Source organism: Homo sapiens, chromosome 2 (assembly GCF_000001405.40).
Source record: "Homo sapiens chromosome 2, GRCh38.p14 Primary Assembly".
NCBI classification, from domain to species: Eukaryota; Metazoa; Chordata; class Mammalia; order Primates; family Hominidae; genus Homo; species Homo sapiens.
In genome coordinates, this window is record NC_000002.12 from 65327552 (window position 1) to 65343174 (window position 15623).

Here is a 15623-nt window from a genome sequence, read left to right on the forward strand (position 1 = left end):
AGATAAAGGAGTCCCCACCCATCTTCTGAGACCTTCTTCTGACACCCCACCCTGTGTTGGGTCTCAATCAGCAGTAGTTATGGGATGCACTGCTCCCTGGGGTCAACCAAAACGTGGAGGGCTGCCCTCCCAAAACATCTTTGCTTTTCTTTTCTTTCTTTCTTTTTTTTTTTTTTTTTTTTTTTTTTTTGAGACGGAGTCTCGCTCTGTCGCCCAGGCTGGAGTGCAATGGTGCGGTCTCGGCTCACTGCAACCTCCGCCTTCCAGGTTCAAGCGATTCTCCTGCCTCAGCCTCCGGAGTAGCTGGGATTACAGGGGCCCGCCATCATGCCTGGCTAATTTTTGTATTTTTAGTAGAGATGGGGTTTCACCATGTTGGCCAGGCTGGTCTTGAATTGCTGACCTCGTGATCCGCCCACCTTGGCCTCCCAAAGTGCTGGGATTACAGGCATGAACCGCTGTGCCCGGCCCATTTTTGCTTTTCTTACCCACCATAAATCAGTTTCACTAAACTTTGTAGAAGTAATTTATATTTTCAAACTATTTTCTCTTTTACTTGTCACCCCTTCCCTCCTCTGCCCCAATCCCTTAATGCTAAAGATAATGACACCAGAAAATATTTTTGATCAACTGATCTTCTAAAATGAGACTGGGGCTTTCAAGTAGGGACAGGGGAACCTCAGACCTCCAGCAAAGAGATGGCTGAGGTCTTAAGCCAATGTACCAGTTTAAATGCACATCGTTTAGGCAGCTTTTCTGCAATAAAAGGAATCTGGTATACTGACCATGTAAAATGTACTGAAACTTAGTTGGATAACGATTTCCTTTTCTTAAGCTTCTCTGAAAGGCAGCAAGCAGTTTACGGGCTTGCATTCTGGGACAGCAGAGTGTGGAACTGAGGACAAGTCACTTCATCTCGCTGAGCTGTGGTGGCTTTATGTGCAAAAATGGAAGTGTCGATCTGTACTCACAGGGTAGCTGTGAGGACCAAATGCAGTCACGTATCCAGGAGTCCAGTGCAAAATGCCAGGGACAGTAATGGTTCCACATCACTGTCCCTTTCCTTCCCCTCCCCTTGGGCCAGTGAATGGAGACTCAAAAGAAATATGTTCATCCCAAGAAGGTTTTGAGTCCAAAGCACAGCTAACTAAAAGGAGAATCCAGTTTAGAATGGAGGCCTCTCTTCAGACTCCAAACACAGGGATCACATGCCACCTCACCTTTAAGAAAACACTTAGAAAGCCAGTCAATGAACTCCATTCATTACAACACTGGTAGATCTGCCCTCAGCTTTAATGTTTGCTGGGGATAGAGTAGGTAGAAAAAAACTCTTCAAGAAAAGGAAGATGTTGTATTCTGTGCCCTTTTACTTCTGCAAATGAAACCTTGATAAGTACAAAATTCAACAAATTCATTTTTCCACTTAAGAATGAAAAGAAACTCAACTTGCAAATACCCAAAAGCCCATCTAGGACAAAACCAACATTGTCTTGGTGCTTTGGTTTTAACTATGTGCTCTATCCATGCCTTAGACAACACCTGAGGTGGATGGGAGGGGGCTGGGATGTCATTAGACACAACTGCGCTGAGTTCCAAGTTCTAAATATCTGTCTTACCAGTAAGTTTTAGAACACAACCCCACTCTGGGAAGCTGTGGACCACATGTGAGCTAAAGCAGTGCTCATGTCCCTGGCTCTAGGTTCCAGACATTTCATTATCTCAGGACAGAAAATCTAATGACAGGGAGCTCATAAATGAAGGGGGACCTGGTTTGTAAGCCCTGATGGAGTGTGTTCCTAAGAGTCAATGGCCTAATTACTGGGCTTTTCTAGGGAAAGGAGGTACTATTGTTAATAGGTCCTTGTTTGTAAACAAATGGAATGAAGGCAATTGATCGCAGACACCAGGGTCTATACAGAATACAAGAAATTAAGTGGTGCTCTTTCTGCAGTGAGTCTGCAAGTGCCCGGAAGCAGCAGGGCTGCTCCTAAACTTTCTTCCAGGCATTTGGTGTTAGCCTAGAGTAGCACATGGATCCCCCGTGGATTAAAGGACAAAACCAGGAGGGATTCTGGCTTCCATCATCCCTTTCCCTCTCACCCTCTTCTGATTCTATAAATCACTTCTGGCAGGTAGCTGGGAAGCAGCTGCGAATGACAGGTTTGCTCTGGAGCACAGGAAGCCACCTTTTAACCCGCCTGCTGTTGTTTGTCTCTCAAAACGTGACAAAGGAACAGATGTAAGCAACATGCCAACTGTTGAGAGGATCTGCTCGGAGCACTATAGGAAGTCTGTTGGGAGCTATATCACACCAGCCAATCCAAGGAAGGACAACTGAGTTCATTTCCTGAAACCCCCTCTGCACACTCAGTTCAAGTCAGGTTGGGTCGGCAATGATCAGGCTATGCACCACGCAAACCCCTGCTTCCACCTTTGCCCCTGTGGCTCCCAGTTCTCAAAGCCCCTTCTTGAACCCCGTTCAAATGCAACTGAGAGGTTCAGTCCAGCCTCACCCCCAGCGAGGACTTTTTTGATCCCATGCCCCTCCCTCATCTCTCAACCAGACTACTTTTCACAGTCTGTAAGCCTCTCATGGGTCAGTCTCATTTCTGCAAACCATCTTGTGATCTCTTTGAGGGTTGGAGCCATGGCTCACATACCTTTGTATTCCCAAGGTAATGGTTTTTCAAATCACCAGTTGCAAACCATGAGTACAATGGGAGACAAGTTTAATGGGTTGCACCCAATATATTAAAATATAAAATAAAAACCAGCTTACAAAAGACACTCCTGGGACAACTGGGGAACTATGAAGTGGATATTAGATGACATTATGAAATTCTTATTAATTTTCTAAGGGATCGTAATGGTGGTGTGTTTACACAGGAAAATGCCTTATTTCTTTTAAAAATTATTTTTATTAGACTTTTTTTTTGGAGCAGTTTTAGTTTCACAGCAAAACCGAGTGGAAAGTAGAGATTTCCCCTGTCCCCACACATGCAAAGTCCCCCATTATCAACATCCCCACCACGGTGGTACATTTGTGACAATCGATGAAGTACACTGACACATCACTATCACCCAAAGGCTACGGTTTACATTAGGATTCAGGTGTTATACATGCTACAGGTTTGGACAAATGCATAATGACATGCATCTGCCATTACGGTGACATACAGAGTAGTGTCACTGCCCTTAAATTCCTTTGTGAACCTCAGGGGACACATGCTAAAGTACGAGAGGTGACTTACTTTCAAATGGATCAACAACAAAAATATCTGTGTGTGTATAAGCTCACACGCTTGCACAGATCAAGCAAATGTGCCCAAATGTTACAACAGCTGAATGTTAGGTGTACGGTATGCAGGCATTCACTGTACTATTCTTTACATTTTTCTGTGTGCTTGAAAAGTTTTATAATAAAAAATGGAAGAAAATGAAACAGAAAAAAAATCAGAATGCAGAGGATGAAATATGATTTGCTTTAGGTTTCTATTGACATATGTGTCCTGGGTCACAACATACATATATTTCTTATTGTGGGTCAAGGCCCAGAATTTGAAAATGCTGTCCAGGCTGGGCGTGGTGGCTAAAGCCTATAAACCTATAATCCCAGCACTTTGAGAAGCTGAAGTTGGAGGACTGCTTGAGCCCAGGAGTTCAAAACCAGCCTAGGCAATACAGCGAAACCCCATCTTTGAAAATAAATAAATAAATAAAAAGGAAAGAAAGAAAATGCTGTCCCGCGTAACTTGCTGCTCTAAGCACACAGCAGGCAGGCAATGAACTATTTGTTAATTAACTTCTAGAAGCACAGGATTTAACTGAAGCAGCAAGCTGAGAAATCATTTTGTTTCCAGTTACATCCCATTAACTCAAGCTGTGTCAAAACAGCTAAAAACCCTTTCCTGCGTTAGCACACTTGGGCCTAACCTTAAGTCAGCCTGCAGGCCTTTCTTATCAGATGTTTAATTACTCATCAGGAAAGATACTGCTGGCTTTCCCCCCTGATGCCAGGGAGGGAAGCGTGTTCACAGAAGACTCCAAATAGGGCAAGCGATTGTCCTGGCTTGCCTGGGATTGAGGTGTTTCCCAGGACTAGGGACATTTTGTGCTAAAACCAGGACAGACTTGGGCAAACCAGGGCAGCTGGTCATCCTAAATCTGAGCAAAGACTTTAAGACAACCTTGGACAGACCTGGGAGAGCTGACACTGCTGTGCTGTGTGGCAGATGTGCAGTGTTGCTCACTGCAGCGTGAGCAACAGGGACAAACCCAGCCTGAGAAAAATTGTAGTAAGACAGAGATCGCTCTGATGCCATCCAAACAGCAACAGCAAACACTGCATTGCAAAGTGTGCCTCATGCCCTTAAACAAAACCTTTCTCTGATTATTCAACAACTAATCTGGAAAGCAAAGGACAAAGGAAACTTACTGTAAAAACGTCATCATCGCCAAGCTCAGCTTCATTATGGATGGTGGAAGATGACGTTGTTGAACCTAAAAAGACAAAAATGTAATAAAAAGTGTTTCCCAAGAGGATACATCAAATCCAACCGTTTAAAAAAGTATATTTTAATAAAACCACATTCCATTCTTTTTGCATGTGAATTACCAACAGAAACAAGTTACCTGGGAATTGAGTGCTTTTAATTTACTCTTCTTTAATTGATTCTTGCCAGGATGCTCCCTAAATTAACTTTGCCTGCTGTTGTTCCCAATTAATCTCTCAAACTTCTGCACTCGCTGCTAGAGAATAAGCACACAGAAAGGCACTGTGGAGGAGGTGAGGGGAGAGGCTGCCCACTCCTCTGAGGGACATGCATCGAGCCCAGCCTCTGTAGTGACCTTGAGGTCCCAGCCGTGTAGTGGGAAAAGCACTGGACGGGGAACCCCTAAGTGAGACCTGCCACAATCTACTGTGTAAACTGGATTTAGCTCCTCTGGTCTTTTCACCTACCAATGAAGGCATTTTAGCTCAATAGCTTGTATGGTTGTGTCCAGTTCTGAATTCAGATGTTGTATTTCTAAATCCCAAATTGTGGGCTCCCTTCTAAGGGGACACCTGTGCAAGGGGGTTTCCTCTTGCAATACCAAGGCATCAGTGAGTTTGCTTTGTTTTTCCAAGTCAAAATTACAGCTCTTGTTAGAAAACCCTCCTTATTCCATCATGGAACCAATTGGATTTTAGAGTTCAATGTAATTACTTGTTCACCTTTTTCTTCATTCTGGTATGCGAATCAGGTACAACTGCCCTACTTCCCCCCACCACCCTGAATAGCAGACAATAATGCATGGATCAACTTAATTGGCCAAAAGAAAGACATATTTAAAATTGCATCAGTGACAGATATACCAAAAGGGAAATTTATTCTCTATCTTTTCCTTTTCTTGGTTAGATCTTTTAAAATATGCATTTAGAAAATATTTTGCTGGCCAGACGCAGTGGCTCACGCCTGCAATCCGAGCACTTTGGGAGGCTGAGGCCGGCAGATCACGAGGTCAGGAGTTCAAGACCAGCCTGGCCAACATAGTGAAACCCTGTCTCTACTAAAAATACAAAAATTAGCTGGGTGTGATGGCGGGCGCCTGTAATCCTAGCTACTGGGGAGGCTGAGGCATGAGAATCGCTTGAACCTGGGAGACGGAGGTTGCAGTGAGCCGAGATGGCACCACTGCACTCCAGCCTGGGCTGGAGACTCCATCTCAAAAAAAAAAAAAAAAGAAAAAGAAAATATTTTGCTATTACATGAAATTGAAATGAAAACAATTGCTCAGAAAGGATGAGAAATACTTAAATTTCCAACGAGAGACTGCAGGAGAAAAAACAACAGTCCCATAGTATGTTCTGTGCAACTCCTACTGGTCTTTCGGGAGCTGTCTCTACTCTGAATTACTCCAATCAACCAATGTTCTAGGAAAACTGGTGGAAAAAAAAGCTAGATAGTATGTATATAGAGAAAAAAATTACAAGTAGGAGAATGAAATGTTGTGCAATTAAGTACATGGACACAATGCGAACGTCTATCAATAATATAGGAGCTGTTTTTTCTCTAAACATGAAAAAGCTGTGTTTAATAACATTTTAAATATTTGCCACTTATGTCAGAACTATGATTTGAACACTGGTTTTTATTATCTCTTTTTGGCTATCTCATACTTGTTTATGGATTCATGTTCTAGCTAGTCTTGTCTTACTACTGATTATAATGTTAAGTAATTTGTCTTTTAAGACTTGCTTTTTTTCCTCTTCCCCCAAATCCACAATGAAGAAAATGACTTCAGAACACTTTTATTTCTTAAGCAAATGAAACATACATCCTTTTGTGATTAATTTCCCCAAGATCTGAATTTGGTATTAACATGCCTTGCTTGATATTTCTTTCTTCACAGGGCCCTGTCTATGGCTTCTTTAACCCTCTGATTTGATACCTGGATGTGCTGCAGTGGAGAATTTTTGTGTTTGCATCTGTGGACTCTAGTCAAGCCCACCATGAGAACTGACTGCCCAAGGGCCCTCCAGGCCACGATCAGATGTAACACAATGCCTACTACTCACTTACCCATAGACCAAGGCCTAAACCGAACCAGGGCTCCAGAGGTCACAGATCCCTTTCCTTTTCAGTGGCAGCTGTACACCCTGGGCCTCTGATTACAGGAGGACAGTGGGTAGGCCAGGAGCCTTCTGGGCCCGCCAGAATCCATTCTCTACTTCTGAGCCAAGACAGACCAGACCAAAGCCATTTCAATAGTCAGGACAAGGTGAAAGCAGTCAAAAATACATGCACATGGAAATCCAGAACCTGCCTGTTTTTTCACAGCAGAGTCTAAAAATCAATTGGGATTACTCCTTACTCTGAAACCCATCTCCTTTTCCCTGAATTGTCACTTTAATTACTCTCCTTGGAAATTCCAAAAGTTTTGGCATCTACTGACCTGGTCCCAAACCCTCCCGCAAATAAACCACAAATAAATGATGGCAGACTATTGGAATTAAAAATAATTTGGAACATTTCCATAGTCCCACTAAGAATGCAGCGACAAGTTCAATACCTTCTATAAGGTCTTCGATTGCTTTCCTTACTCCCCTGTCAAAGGCTCGGGCATCAGCAGGGCTTTGGAAAGTAAGTCCAAACTTCCTATTATCGACCTTCCAGTGATGAAACGTTGGATTGGCTTTGGTGTAGACCAAGTCCTTTCTTACATAGCATTCCAATACCACCTGAAGGATGGAAACACACAGGCTGGTTACTAGTGGAACAGCCATGATGATGTCTGGTTACAGAAGTCTAATTAGGAACCATCACTGGTGGCAACTACCAAAACCCCTCTAACCCCTGCCTTCACATATCTGTGAGTCTCTCCAATGGGAAAGGAGGCTTTGCTTGGCTGCTGACCATCCGATCTTCGCTGCTCCCCACTGTCCTGGTTGTACCCCTTCACTACACTCTCTTCATCACGGTTATTCCTCTTCCTCCTGGCTGCAGGGCACTAAGTTGATGCTCAGGTCTTGGGTCTTGGCTGTATTTCAGATTACTGCTTTTATGTTGGGGTTTTTATATTGATGGTCATCTAGCTTCCCTCCCCCGAGGCTCCAAATTCCAAAAGTTGAAAAATTAACTTTACTCTAAAATTTCTCCTCTCCCAACTTCTGGCAATACCAATCCCTCTCCACTCTTTTTCTCTGGCTCATCATCTCTGTGGTCATCTTTGCCTCCTCTGCCTATCTCCTGTATTATTAATCACCAGGTCCATTTCATTTTTCCTTCAACAGCTTTTATATCAACCCCATTTCAGTTGCTGCCACCCTGATCTGGGTCTCTATTAACTTTATGTTTGGATTAATAGAACAATATTCAAGTTTCTAGCAATTTAATCTCAGAACTGGCTTTTACTGAGTTGTAATGAGTAGATTGATCTTTTTATCTCTAAGATGGAAAGAACACCAATGTTATCAATGAGAACAAGAACATGCTCTGAAAACACTGAATAAATGAGAAACCTAATTCACATTCATTGTCCAGTATATCTTCCCTGTCAAGTTTTATATGTACTCCAATTCTCCTTCTTGTCATCTTCACAATTTAGTACCTGATTTCAAACTATTCTTTAACAGTTTCATGTGTATTAGTCTTGTTCCCCTAACTAGACTACAAAAAGTCAAGATTATAAAATAACCCCGTCTAGCACAGTTGATAGAGATACTAGAATTTATTTAATATTATAGAAAAGAAACATTGCAATAATTTGAACGTAAACTTCATTCTTTATTCATTAAAAAACTCAGACTACTTACAATATTTATTCCTATGGCTTCATTACAAACACCATAATGATTTTGCTAAGTTTTAATAGCCCAATCTTGTTCTGGCAAAGATCTGCATTTACCGCAATGTGATCTTATTAATTTAGACTAAATGAAGGACAAGAGTAAAGACCTGCCTAAATTAGTATACAGATAAATTAGAGAATATCTTTAAATAAGTATAAATTCTAAGAATAGATCAAAGCAAAAAGAAGGAGGCCAGTACAGTGGCTCATGCCTGTAATCCCAGCACTTTTGGGGGCTGAGGCAAGAGGATCACTTGAGCCCAGGAGTTTGAGACCAGCCTGGGCAACATGGCAGGACCCTGTCTCTAACTAAAATACAAAAATTAGCTGGGTGTGGTGGCACACATCTGTAGTCCCAGCTACTCAGGAGATTGAGGTGGGAGGAACGCTTGAGCCTGGGAGGCTGAGGCTGCAGTGAGCTGAGAAGGTGCACCACTACACTCCAGCCCAGGTGACAGAGTGAGACTCTGTCTCAACAAAAGGAAAAAACAAACGAGAAATAAATTAAGGGTTGTCTAATGAATGTTCCCTAACTTAATAAAAAAATGAGAATAATATTCAAATTGGTATATCAAATAGTAGTCCCAAGCAGTTAACTTTATTACATTGTATTGAGATCGGACAACAGTTCCCTCCCATAATTCTATTTATGATTAAATTGCTTATTATAGCCATTTCCCCCTAAGAATAGCACAATGATTAAATGTCAGCCCAGCCCCATTCCACATTGGGGAAATCCAAATAATCAAGAATTTAACAAATGTTATCTATTTTAGAATTTAATAGTCTCAATTCAAAGTCTCAAAATAAACTTTTTGTATTCTAAAAACAAAGACTCCTAGTTTCTCCATATTTTGGGGGTGAAAAAATTAGTCTTTGGTTGATATTTTCCAACTTTGAAATTATTCCAAAGGTACATTTTCTTAGAAAAGTTTAAGTAAAATGGCCGGGCGCGGTGGCTCACGCCTGTAATACCAGCCCTTTGGGAGGCCGAGGCGGGCGGATCATGAGGTCAGGAGATCGAGACCATCGTGGCTAACACGGTGAAACCTCATCTCTACTAAAAATACAAAAAATTAGCCGGGCATGGTGGCGGGCACCTGTAGTCCCAGCTACTAGGGAGGCTGAGGCAGGAGAATAGCGTGAACCCGGGAGGCGGAGCTTGCAGTGGGCCGAGATCGTGCCACTGCAGTCCAGCCTGGGCGAAAGAGCAAGACTCTGTCTCAAAAAAAAAATAAAGTTTGAGTAAAATAAGTTCAGCCACCTAAATTAAGTGAGGGGGGAAATCAGATACCATCTCTTTATGTCCTCTAAAGCAAAATAGTATCATATGTATCTAAGTTTAAAGACAAAAATGAAAAGGTTTTAGATGCTTTAATCTTCCCAACAGATATAAACTCTCTGGTGAAGTTTTGGCACGCACACAATTAGACACTAACTTAAAACTTGAGAAAGGCTTTAAAAAATACCCGTTTAAATAAGATGCATACGGAGAAAAAAAGTGATTATGTTCTTGTTCGAGACTTGAAAAAAAAAACTACACAAGAAATACATGTTGTGGGAGATTTAAGTATTAGCTGAAGACATGAGGACTCCATTCCTACTCATCTCTCCCCTCCACCGTCAACATCCCTCTCTGTCGAGTTCCCCACTGTCAGTAGAGCGGGCACAATCCCAGTTTCCATTTTGTGGCTTCTTTACATATACACAGGTAAGTTTCTGTGTAAGGGCAACTGTGTTTAAATGTAGCCACACCTATAAGTTGTTTTTAACTTGCTTTTTATTTTCCTTAAAAATATGTCATAGAGATACAGGAAGGTAAAATAATTGTTTAATTCATCTGTATGGATGTATTAGATTTATTCAACCATTCTCCATACTAACGGACATTTATGTCAGTAAGAATTGGTCACCTTGAAGGCAATGCTGCAATTTACATCCTTATCTATATTTGAAGTATAAATTAGAATTCTAGACAGCTTCCTGGTACTTAAAGACTTTTCTAATGAGTCAGTGGCAATATTAAAAAATGTAGTTTTTTTGATATTAATGAGTCAGTGGCGATATTAAGAAATGTAGTTTTTTTATATTAATGAGTTAGTGGCAATACTAAGAAATGTAGTTTTTTGATATTATAGAATAAAATGTATCAACATTTGGAAGATCTGCTTAACTCAGTGGAGCACTATTTTTCAGGTGACCAGTGCATGATGTTACAAAATCAGGGATGAGTAAGAGATCTATTGAAAGTGAAAGAGTCCCTCTCCCTCTCCCGTCTCCCTCTCCCGTCTCCCGTCTCCCTCTCCCTCTCCCGTCTCCCTCTCCCTCTCCCGTCTCCCTCTCCCTCTCCCGTCTCCCTCTCCCGTCTCCCTCTCCCTCTCCCGTCTCCCTCTCCCTCTCCCGTCTCCCTCTCCCTCTCCCGTCTCCCTCTCCCTCTCCTTTCCACGGTCTCCCTCTCATGCCGGGCCAAAGCTGGACTGTACTGCTGCCATCTCGGCTCGCTGCAGCCTCCCTGCCTGATTCTCCTGCCTCAGCCTGCCGAGTGCCTGCGATTGCAGGCGCGCGCCGCCACGCCTGACTGGTTTTTGTGTTTTTTTGGTGGGGACGGGGTTTCGCTGTGTTGGCCGGACTGGTCTCCAGCTCCTAGCCGCGAGTGATCCGCCAGCCTCGGCCTCCCGAGGTGCCGGGATTGCAGACGGAGTCTCATTCACTCAGTGCTCAATGGTGCCCAGGCTGGAGTGCAGTGGCGTGATCTCGGCTCGCTACGGCCTCCACCTCCCAGCCGCCTGCCTTGGCCCCCCAAAGTGCGGAGATTGCAGCCTCTGCCCGGCCGCCACCCCGTCTGGGAAGTGAGGAGCGTCTCTGCCTGGCTGCCCATCGTCTGGGATGTGAGGAGCCCCTCTGCCTGGCTGCCCAGTCTGGAAAGTGAGGAGCGTCTCTGCCCGGCCGCCATCCCACCTGGGAAGTGAGGAGCGCCTCCTCCCGGCCGCCATCCCATCTAGGAAGTGAGGAGCGTCTCTGCCCGGCAGCCCATCGTCTGAGATGTGGGGAGCGCCTCTGCCCCGCCGCCCCGTCCGGGAGGTGAGGGGCGCCTCTGCCCGGCGGCCCCTACTGGGAAGTGAGGAGCCCCTCTGGCCGGCCAGCCGCCCCGTCCGGGAGGGAGGTGGGGGGCTCAGCCCCCCGCCGGGCCAGCCGCTCCGTCCGGGAGGGAGGTTGGGCGGGGGGTCAGCGCCCCCTCCCGGCCAGCCGCCCGGTCCAGGAGCTGAGGGGCGCCTCTGCCCGGCCGCCCCTACTGGGAGGTGGGGAGCCCCTCTGCCCAGCCACCACCCCGTCTGGGAGGTGTGCCCAACAGCTCATTGAGAATGGGCCATGATGACGATGGCGGTTTTCTGGAATGGAAGGGGGGGCAGGGTGGGGAAAGGATTGAGAAATCGGATGGTTGCCGTGTCTGTGTAGAAAGAAGTAGACATGGGCGACTTTTCATTTTGTTTTGTACCAAGAAAAATTCTTCTGCCTTGGGATCCTGTTGATCTATGACCTTACCCCCAACCCTGTGCTCTCTGAAACATGTGCTGTGTCCACTCAGGGTTAAATGGATTAAGGGCGGTGCAAGATGTGCTTTGTTAAACAGATGCTTGAAGGCAGCATGCTCGTTAAGAGTCATCACCACTCCCTAATCTCAAGTACCCAGGGACACAAACACTCTGCCTAGGAAAACCAGAGACCTTTGTTCACTTGTTTGTCTGCTGACCTTCCCTCCACTAGTGTCCTATGACCCTGCCAAATCCCCCTCTGTGAGAAACACCCAAGAATGATCAATAAAAAATAAAATAAAATTAAAAAAAAATCCTAAAAAAAAAAAAAAGAAAGTGAAAGATAAACCAGTGGGTGGTAATGTAACAGAGTATGAAAGGTCCATTGATAGATTTCAGATTCCACATGGTTGAGTTTTAGTGTAGTATCAAAGAAGAATATCTACAATTGTCTGAAAAGGCTATTAAAATATTTCTCCCCTTACTAACTCCCCTTCTCTGTGAGTAGCTGTATTTTCTTTATATACTTCAACCAAAATAATATATTACAGATTAAAAGCAGGAGCAGATACCAGAATCCAGCTATTTTCTGGTAAGCCAGATATTAATGAGATCTTCAAAAACATAAAGCCATGCCACTCTTCTCATAATTACTTTTGTTCTGGAAAAGTTATACAGTTATTTGCCATAAAATGTCATTTATATTAACAATACTGTTTAATTAAAAGTTTTAAATTTTTTCCATTTTAATTTCTAATATGGCAAGTTATAAATAGCTGTAACTCACCAAACCAAAAGCTCTCTGAGGTCCTGAATAAAATTTTGGAGTGTAAAGGGATCCTGAGACCAAAAAAGTTTAAGAACTGTTACTGTCCATAAATCTCTGTGTGTTTAAGTCTTTTTCTAAAGGATAGTGTTCTAGATGTGAACTGCTAGGTAAAAAGATATGCACATTTAAAATTAAAATCCTGCCAAATTGCTTTTCAAAGAGCTTTGCCAGCTCAAATTCCCACCAAATGTTATGTGAGAATGCTCGCTGACCTACACATGGGCAATGACTGGAATGATCAAACTCTTAGATTTTGTGATTAGTCTCCATAAAGAGGTTTCTCATAAGATTTGTTTCAGGAGTAAACTCCTCTAATCCATCTAAAAATGAGATTCAACTCAGAAAATTTTAATTTAAATATAATTTCTCAGGCTTGACTGTCCCCAGCTTACCAAAAAATTACCTGACTACTCGTGAATGGTTGTCTGGAACAGAGACTTTTCCCACAGAAACAATGGTAGTTAACAGCCCTCAATATGTAACGAAACAAACTCCCACAATGTGCTGAATTCTAGATGTGCACTACATTGTAAAAACTGACAACACTGTTTCTATCTGAAAGAGCACTTCATGCCCTAGTTGGAATACTGGGAACTCTGATACAATCCATCCAATATATCCTAAAAATAATCTTCATCTTTTCTTTGCCATTCCACCTTTTAGAGGGGGGTTCCTCAATAACTCACCACATTTGCAGAGCTCCCATGTGGGCGCATGGTCTCCAGTGGGCACTAGCATTGCATTAGAGAAGCTTGAGAGGCCAAAGGAAGAGTTATCATATCTCTAAGGAGAGAGAAAGGGGCGGGGTGGTGGGGGGGAGGGCAGTGAGAGAGAGAGAGGAAGGGAGACTGGGTACGGGCGTGTGTGTGTGTGTGTGTGTGTGTGCATGTGCATGAGTGTGCTGGGTATGGGTGTGAGGGGAGGGGTTAAGTACCACTCAGTACAGAAATCCAGAATTTCCTGGAGTGTGAAACAGGCAAGGTGAGGGATGGAGAGACAGAGAAGTACAGCAGGACATATGGGTGTGTGACTTAGGTACTAGTGAATATAAAAGCCCACAAGTGTGGAGTCAAGGAATGTAAAGGGGACAGGAAAAGGGGTGGGGAAATGGAGAAACATGATGGGGGAGGGGATGAGGCACACTTTTAGGATAGTGCAATCTGTGTACACTAGCAACAAACAACAGCAGTTGGTCCACGACTCAGCGGGGGCGGACAGAGGACTGGACTGCCCTAATATTATGCCAAGTTAGTGTGAAGGGACAGGCTTTGATTTTGCAAAGAAATGAGCTCAAACGCAGGCTCTGCTGGTGACACTGCCCACCCCATGCCAAGGACGTGGCTCACTTCTTAGAGCATTGAGTTTCCCCACTACAATGTGGAAATAGTAGTATCTTCCTCCTTCAAAATGTTGCAGGAATTTAACTGAGGTTATTTACTTAAAGGACCTGGAACAAATGGTAAAAGTTTACTATGCACTAGTAATGTCTTACCAGTGACTAGATTAGATAAGCTAAAGGGCCACTTTAGGTTGAAGTATTCTATGACAAACCATAGAAATACCAGGAAAAAGTAGCTCTAAAAACATAAGCCTTCAGACAAGATAATCTGGTAAAACACAGAATAACCCTAAAAACAAAAAGACCAAAGAAGTGGAAAAAAATTTCTATATATATAAAAATAAGAACTAAAAGGGCAAGCAACAGATTATAAAAATATACTTGCAGCAAATATGACAGATGGAGATTCATATCTTTATTATGCAAGAGGGCATACACATGAAGGAGAAAAATAAGGCCCTGATAAGTAAATATACAAAGGACATCAACAGATAATTAATTCACAGTTATAACTGTTTAACAAACAGAAAAACATTTTATTAATTAGCAAGCAATAAGATTTTATATGTATATTTTATATACATATATTATGTATGTATATTTTATATACGTATATTATGTATGTATATTTTGTATACGTATATTATGTATGTATATTTTGTATACGTATATTATGTATGTATATTTTGTATACGTATATTATGTATGTATATTTTGTATACGTATATTATGTATGTATATTTTGTATACGTATATTATGTATGTATATTTTGTATACGTATATTATATGTATGTATATTTTGTATATGTATATATGTATGTATATTTTGTATACGTATATTATATGTATGTATATTTTGTATATATATTATATATGTATGAATATTTTGTATACGTATATTATATATGTATGTATATTTTATATCCCTCAATGTGTTAAAGGAAATTCTAATACTGGTAGCAGCTCCTTGCACATGTATCAAAAGTCATAAAAATATGACCTCCTAAATTATTCCAAAACTATAATAAACGTGGAAAATTCACATAGGTGTATTCCTAACACTGAGGTGAGGGGAAGAACCTTAATATTTGACACTAAGGAGGTGGTCAAATAATGAAACATCAAACTGATATCAGCAACATGGAAAATTTCATATGAGAATGTTAGGGCAATGTTGTTTCATGATAGTCTTGAAAGAGAATGTTTAAGGCAAAATAAATAAGATACACAACTGTTTAAAAATATGGCTGGGCACAGTGGCATGTGTCTGTAGTCCCAGCTACTCTGGAGGATGAGGTGGGAGGACCATTTGAAGCCCAGGAGTTGGAGGCCAGCCTGGGCAACAAAGTGAGATCCTGCCTTTTTAAAAAAAAGTACAAAGTGGGAAAATTACATCAAAGGGCTAAGGGTGGTTGTTCAGTTTTGGGGTCAGAGTGACAAGAGAATCAAATACTGGTTCCAGGCCCCCAAAACAGGCCACTAAGAACAAGGAATCTTTCTGAATCATAATTTCTTCAATTACAATTATACAGGCTGCTGTAAGGATACAATGAGAGATCTAACCGAAGGGCTGGATTATACTTAGTACAT

The 15623-nt window shown here is 42.4% G+C and overlaps 1 protein-coding gene across 9 annotated transcripts in view; it reads right to left on the minus strand.

The window, feature by feature from the left end:
- Nucleotides 1–15623, minus strand: part of SPRED2 (sprouty related EVH1 domain containing 2) — a 125425-nt gene that overhangs the window by 20377 nt on the left and 89425 nt on the right. For 7 of the 9 annotated variants that reach the window (XM_005264202.6, XM_005264200.6, XM_047443712.1 and 4 more), the window contains exons 3-4: nucleotides 7054–7222; nucleotides 4436–4500 (exon numbers count right to left, since the gene is read on the minus strand). In XM_005264202.6, the coding sequence (XP_005264259.1) occupies nucleotides 4436–4500; nucleotides 7054–7222 (234 nt within the window). The other 2 variants (XM_017003576.2, XM_047443711.1) reach the window with 2 other exon arrangements.